The sequence below is a fragment of the Homo sapiens genome, chromosome 2, assembly GCF_000001405.40.
Source record: "Homo sapiens chromosome 2, GRCh38.p14 Primary Assembly".
Classification (NCBI taxonomy): Eukaryota; Metazoa; Chordata; class Mammalia; order Primates; family Hominidae; genus Homo; species Homo sapiens.
Genome location: NC_000002.12, coordinates 123,643,879 through 123,651,508, shown reverse-complemented (window position 1 = coordinate 123,651,508; position 7,630 = coordinate 123,643,879).

Genomic DNA, 7,630 nt, shown 5'->3' with positions numbered 1-7,630 from the left:
GTTTTGTTATTTTATTTTTTTCTATGAGAAACTAAACATAGCCAAGAATCCTATGGAGGGACTTTATCTGTTACTGCTTGGGGATGTTCCTAAGGCATCTGGAGAGGCGTTTTAGTGTTACGGTCTTATCTTCCAAGATTTTCTCTTGTAAGCCATTTTCAGGATTACATTTCTGAAAAGAAGGTAGGATGACATGTTAGAAATGTGCTTTGAAGAAGTGAGAATCTTCACAGTGAATGATTAAGATTTCTTGAGAATGTGAGATAAGAGAATAGTTGCAGAGGAGCTGTTAGGTTAATGATATCCTGTCTTTTGCATGTGGAATAAGCGTAGTTCGCCTCCCTTAAATTGGCTTTTTATGTCAAATGTCAGAGAAATGTTAAATTTCACTCAGTGTTTGATCTCTATCAGGAGCCTCATGTGAATGTTAAATTCAAGGTCGTGGTTACACTAAAATCTCAGCTCAGGCACTTCATAAGTTTGTGTTCCACCAAACAGAATATAATTTCCTTTTATTTTTCTTATTTTTTGTGTCTGTTTTTGGGAAAATTACTTTACTCTGTCAGCATCAAGGAGTGACAAAAACAATGGGCCTGACTATTTGGTTGTAAACAGATTTTATCCACATTCATGGTCATGACTATTTTTCTATTTGTCCTAAATGTTCCTTAGCACAGTGATTCTCAAGAAGTAGTTTCCATGCACTGTAAATGTGTGTGAGAATCCTCTAGAAGGCTTGTTAAAATAGAGGTTACTGGACCTGGATCTTGGAATATTTGATTTGATAGGTCCAGGGTGGTGGCCCAGAATTTTCATTTTGAGTATCTTCCCAATTAATGCTTATGCTGCTGTTTCATGGTGACACATTGAAAACCACTATTCTGGAGGATGTCTTCCTTACTGTGGACTTCTGCAAACAAGATAATGCGTCTGGATTTCCTTTACTGAGAGATAATACTTTCCATACTGGAGTTTGGATGCATTTTTACTTCCTGTGTCTCACCAAATTGCCTTGGCAAACCATGTGCTTTGAACTTGCTTTTCAAACTGGGGAATAAAAGGTCAGTAAACCTCTCTTGTAAATGGGTGGATTTTAAATGTTTTAGGCTTTGCAGTTCACATACAATCTCTGTAGCAAATATGTAACTCAGTTATCATGGCATGAAAATGGCCATTGACAGTGTATAAACAAATGGGTATAATTGTATTCCAATAACACTTTTGTACAGATACTGACATTTGAATTTCACATAAATCTTGCATGTTATGGAACATTGTAATTCTTTTGATTTTGTTCAAACATGTAAATACACACATATGTATGTAAAAATCTCAACTCTCAAGGCATAGAAAAACAAGGGGACAGGGTCAGGTTTGGCCCACAAATCTTACCTTGCTTACCCAGAGATGATTAATAAGTTGCATTTGTGTTACCAGCAAAACAGATGTCAGCCAAGAAGGGTGATTTTTTTCCATACAGCACAAACTTCCAAGGACCAAATTATTGGCTTCAGAATCACCTGAGAAGATTATTATATTTATAAATTTTCTCTTTGCTACCAGCCCCAACCCAGGTTCTGACTTGTTAGGGCTTGAAGGAGTTGGAACATCTATTTTATAAATAAACAAAGAAAAACCTAAAAGCATGCATGATTATAATGGCCAGTGGGTTTTGGGAGTCACTAGCCTTGTAGTATCCAGCATAGTCTTGGACAGACTAGATAATTGATGAATATTAGACATCAGCAAAGTGCATTCTCATAAATATTCTAAATTATCAATCAATTAGTGTCAACATTCTAGTTTTTATATAAAATTTTGATTAAATTCATTACTTTGTTCTCAAGAACCCTTTATTTTCATCTATTTAACTGAACATTTTTAAAAGATGTTATACATTTTTTCTATTACTTCCCCAAACGACTGCATCATCTTTGTGTGTACATCTCAGTGTAAACTTAAAGCTCCCCCAAAATTTGTCTTCTCAGTCATTTTGTTGGACAGTGATGAAACATTTTACATTTTTAGTCAACTTTTTTGCTAGGACTCCATGTTACAATGTCTCACAACATAAAGACAAGAAGAAAAAATAAAGTGGATTTTGTTAATGTGTACCTAGCCTGGGACACAGGAATTCTGCAAGTGGAGCTGATTGAGCAAGCAACTGCTCGTATCTTAGTAGAATTAAACTTAATCTACCTATTGACTTTTAATCTCCAATTAAGAGTAAGCTGCTGAAAATAGATTTATAAATAATGCCAAGCTAAATTATGTATTCCACAATGTCTGTGACATTTGTGGCAAATATAGATGCAAGTTAACCTGACCCCATGCTTTGAGTCATGCTGTCTGTACCAAGAGAAACAGCTCTGCTGAGTTATTTCCTCTAAGCTGCAAAAGATAGGTAGACCGAAGAAAAGTGAGGCATTAAGACACATGTCCTTGAGGGAATGCATTAATTAATGATGGCAAAGCAATTTTATCCCAAAGCACTGCATTATTGTTAAAAGTGTTATTATAATTGAATTACTTGTTGTATGGGGGAAGAAAAAGCTCACTCTGAATGTACAATGATCATTTTCTGATGCTTCCAACAGTGTCAGCAATCCTGGAATTTTAAAAAAATAAATTTCTTATTCCAAAGAAGTTCCAAAATCCATCAAGAGGATGATTTAGCAGTGGCAATTCTAATTTCATTTGGCAGACTTGAATCATGGAAATAGTTGTGATCTGGGTATTTGGAGTACAGTCTCAGCCACTTGATAGCCATAAGCATTGGTCCTTTTTTATACCATAATTTTTTCATACAAAAGATTGAGCTAATCCATCTGCTCTTCCTACCTATAGGGATTAGTTGAGAATGAGATAAAATCTAAGAGTTTTAAAATTACTATTACGGTAACTCTTCCTCAGCAAAGTCTACATGAGCTGGATCTCTTTTGGACCTGGGTGCCAGGTTTGAAATGAAGCATCCTTGCTGAGGAGAGGTAAAATATAGAGGCTAAGAGCCAAACCTCTCACATAAAGCTAAAATGTGGCCAGGTCAGGCAAACCGCAGTTAGTTGTTTATATCCATAGGAAGGCAGAGGCCCAAAGCTGGGGTACAAAACTTGTCCATGGCCACATCAGACAGCATAAGGGCACAGAGTGTCAGAAAAACAAAATTCTGAAAAAAAAAGAGAAAAGTGCAGTGCTCATTTTCTTGCATTTATATTAAAGAGCAACTACTGCACTGCACCCACATACTTCTGCTTTGCTAACCGTGTGTGGCAGCCCCCTTATGCTGCCGTCTTGCTCCCCTTTGTAATGTGCATCATTAACCACTTCCTCAGATGTACAAACATGAAGCCTCACATATCCTGCTTTATTATTGCTCTTGTTGTTTCTTGGTAGTTTGTTTTTATTTTTTTTCATAGTGACTTTTGGTCAGTTAAGCCGCAAGGGTTGGCAGCAAAGGGAGTGAAATCTTATCAGACCAAAATCTATTTATTCCCCTTTTCTGATTTATGGTTCATCACATCTCTCCATTTATATGTTTATGTACATTTCTATCTTTTGACATAATTGCATTTTGCTTAATTTGTCTAAGATATTCTTCCAATGCTAAGAGGATCATATGCTCTCAAAACTTCATTTGCATGTTAAAGAGGTGATTTTGTTGTTCTTCACTTAAAAGGAATTGTTGGCTTTCCTTTGACTTTAGAATCAATTACATCAGGGTTTAAATCTTCACATAGCTTATTATTTGCATTATAGTATTGGATAAGTTCCATATTTTTCTGGGTTCCCATTTTCTTTCTTGTAGGATGAAAATAAGACTACAACTTCATGGATCTAAGATAAAAATAAAATTACCTATATTTTAAAGCACCAAACATAGTACCTTGACATAAATAAAATATTCAAATTAGAAAAAAATTGGAATATGAACAAAAGCTACTGGTTATTGACTGCATTTGCTTGTCAAGCATCCTGATCTTCTTAATCTCAATCAAAATGACTCTAGATTATTGCCTACTCCATTTATATTGCCTTATATTATCACCACAGAGAAGGAGCTCCTATAGGAGTAAAGGATAAAATCAGGTTCTCAAATTAGGTCTTTCCCCCTTTCCTTGTTGTCACATTAACACAGAGCAAGTGTGTTTAACTCTCTCAGCCAAGAAGGGCTCAGAGAAACCATTGTAACATCTCCAAAGGTAGATATTGAATTAGCAGAATTTTCTGGGCATGAGCTGGCTCCAGGAGAGTGGGGAGGGCAGAGAGAGTTATTGAAGATTCCTAGCTGCTTAGTGAAATTTGCCACACTAGAAAATAACATTTAAATATTGCATCTGGCACCCACACATTAATAAAGACAGTGCAGAAGCCTAGCGTCTTTTGTCTTTATCATGACAGAGAACAATGAAAAAATGTCCCATTTACCACTCTTATTTAATATTTTTATACTAAATAGAGGTTCTTGTTAGTACAAAAATGCAAGGAAAAAATATAAATGACATACATATTGGTACAACAACAAAACTGCCACTATTAGCAAACAGTAAGATTGTGTATGTAGGATAGCCCATGAAATCTTACAAAGACATTCTTAGAACTCAGATGTGAGTTTAGCAATATATCACGGGATTCAAAGTCAATATACAAAAGAGCTATTGTATTTTTTATATACTTGCAATAAGCAATTAGAAATTTAAAAGAAATAGTACTACTTTTAATAGATTCAGAAGTACTACTTTCTCTTTTTTTTTTTTGAGCTGGAGTCTCACTCTATTGCCCAGACTGGAGTGCAGTGGCCCGATCTCAGCTTACTGCAACCTCCACCTCCCGGGTTCAAGCGGTTCTCCTGCCTCAGTCTCCTGAGTCGCTGGGATTACAGGCGAGTGCCACCACGCCCGGCTAAGTTTTGTATTTTTAGTAGAGATGGGGTTTCACCATGTTGGCCAGGCTGGTCTCAAATGCCTGACCTCGTGATCCGGCCGCCTCAGCCTCCCAAAGTGCTGGGATTACAGGCTTGAGCCACCGTGCCCGGAAGAAATACTACTTTCTTAATTTAAGCTGAAATTTATAATTAGCTACAAATCTGAAAGGAGTTCAGATGCTTTATGCTAAAAGCCACAAAAGAATTCAAACAAGACCTAAATAATTGGAGGACATACTATGTTCATGTGTTGATAGACTCAAACTTTTAAAGCTGTCAACTTTGCCTAAATGCACCTATAGATTTAATACAACCCCTATCAGAATTGTGGAAGAATTTGTTGTAAATATAGACAAGCTGTTTCTAAAATTTACATGTAAAGGTAAAGCAAATAGAATAGCTAAGACAATTTTGAAAAAGAAGTATAATGTTGGAGCAATTACAACACATAATTTTAAGGCTTACTATAGAAGTACAGCAGTCAAAACATTACGGTATTTGCAAAAAGATAGGCATACAAATTGAGAAACTGAACAAAGAACTTTAGAAAAAGTCTGTGCAAATATGGCCAATTGACTTTGACAGAGGCGCAAAAACAAGTCAGGAGACCTATGGAGTATTTTAACAAATGGAGTTGTAATAATTAAACATCCATATGAAAAAATGTTAAAAAAAAAAAACCTGATGCAGTTGTCAAACTTCATGTAAATACTAACTCTAAATTTACCACTGATATAAAAAGTAAAAAGCATAAAATAAACTGGAGAAATTCTTTGAGATATGGGTTTAGGTAAAGAGGCATAACACCAAAGCAAGACATACAAAATATAATTAGTACTTCATTATATTAACATGTTTTCTCTATAAAACACACTCTTCAGAAAAGGAAAGCATAATCTATGAACTAAAAAAAACTTGCAATTCACACACCTGATAAAAAACTTGTATCCATAATATATAAAGAACTCTCAAAATTCAATTAAGAAAACAAAACACAACTTTAAAAAAAATGAACAAAATATTTGAATAGCAATTTCACCAAGTATATTGGTTAATTCTCACACTGCTGTAAAGGATACTACCTGAGAGTGGGCAATTTGTAAAGGAAGGATGTTTAATTAACTCAAAGTTCTCCATGGTGGGGAGGCCTCAGGAAACTTACGATCATGGCAGAATGTGAAGGGAAAGCAAGGCATATCTTACAAGGTGGTAGGAGAGAAAGGGGAAAGCTCTATACAGTTATGGAGCAACCAGAACTCATGAGAACATACTCACTATCATGAGGACAGCAAGAGGGAAATCCACCCCCATGATCCAATCACCTCCCACCAGGCCCCTCCCTGGACACGTGGGGATTACGATGCCAGATGAGATTTGGGTGGGGACACAGAGCCAGGCTATGTCACCAAGAGAGTATATGGATAAACAAATAAGAACATGAAAATATGTTTAGCATCATTAGACACTAGGGTAATTCAAATTATAACCATAATTAGATATCTCTATCCACCTATTAGTGTCTTAAAACACACACAACATCAACTAATGGCTAGAAAAGTTCATAGATTACTAGTGGGAACACAAAATGGTAAATACATCTTGGAAAATAGCTTTACTGGCTCTTGTAATATCTATATTAAATTTAGAATATGTATTAGTTATCTCTTAATACATAGCAAATCACTACAAATTCATTTGCTTGAAATAATACACATTATCTCACAGTGTCTATGGGTCAAGTGCACAGGGATAGTTTAGTTGTATCTTTTGCTTAGGGTCACAAGGATACAATCAAGGTGTCCCCCAGGCTTTATTCTTACCTGGTGGGTTGATTGGGGATAACTTCATCCCGAGCTTACTCAGGTTTCCTTATAGCTCTAGGTCTGAGCAGTCTGGCTTCTTGCCTGTCATCAGTAGAGTTTTCCCACAGCTGCTGGAGTCTGCTGGTCAGTTCCTCACCAGGTGGGCTTTCACAATATGACTCCCTACTTTGTCAAGTCATCAAGGAGAGTCTTATGATTACAGGAATGACACAGCATCTTTGTCATATTCTGTTGGTTACAAGCAAATCAGAGGTCCTTCCCACACTCTAGGGGATTACAAAGTAGTGAACATTGAAAGACAGAGATTGTTGAGGCCCACCTTACAGTTCACTCCCTTCATGACAGTGTCTAGTAATTCCACTCCTGGACATGTATGTAACAGCAGAAGTCAGAAAACTTTATAGTCTCTAGTAAATAATGTAAACTTCAGGTTTTGAGGATCACAGGGCTTTATTGCAACTGCTCAGCTGTAGTTCAAAGACAGTCATAGATAATATGTAAACAAATGAGTATGGCTGCATTCCAGTAAAGTATATTTACAAATCATGCAGTGGACTGTGTTTGGTCTGTAAGCCTTAGTTTGCTTATTCCTGCACCAGAGAAAGGAACATTTATGTTCACAGAAGTATCTGTGTATGAAGTATATAGCAATTTTATTCATAATCACCAAGAGTGGAAACAACCCATTATCCTTCAAAAGATGAAGGAATAAACAAACCAAGGTACATCCATAGAATGGAATATTACTCCCTAATAAAAAGGAAGTAACTCTTGATATGCAGAACAACTTGGATGAATCTCAAAGACATTTTCAATGGCATTATACTGAGTCAAAGAAGCCTGTCTCAAAGCTTATATACTGTATGATGTCATTTATGATTCTCAA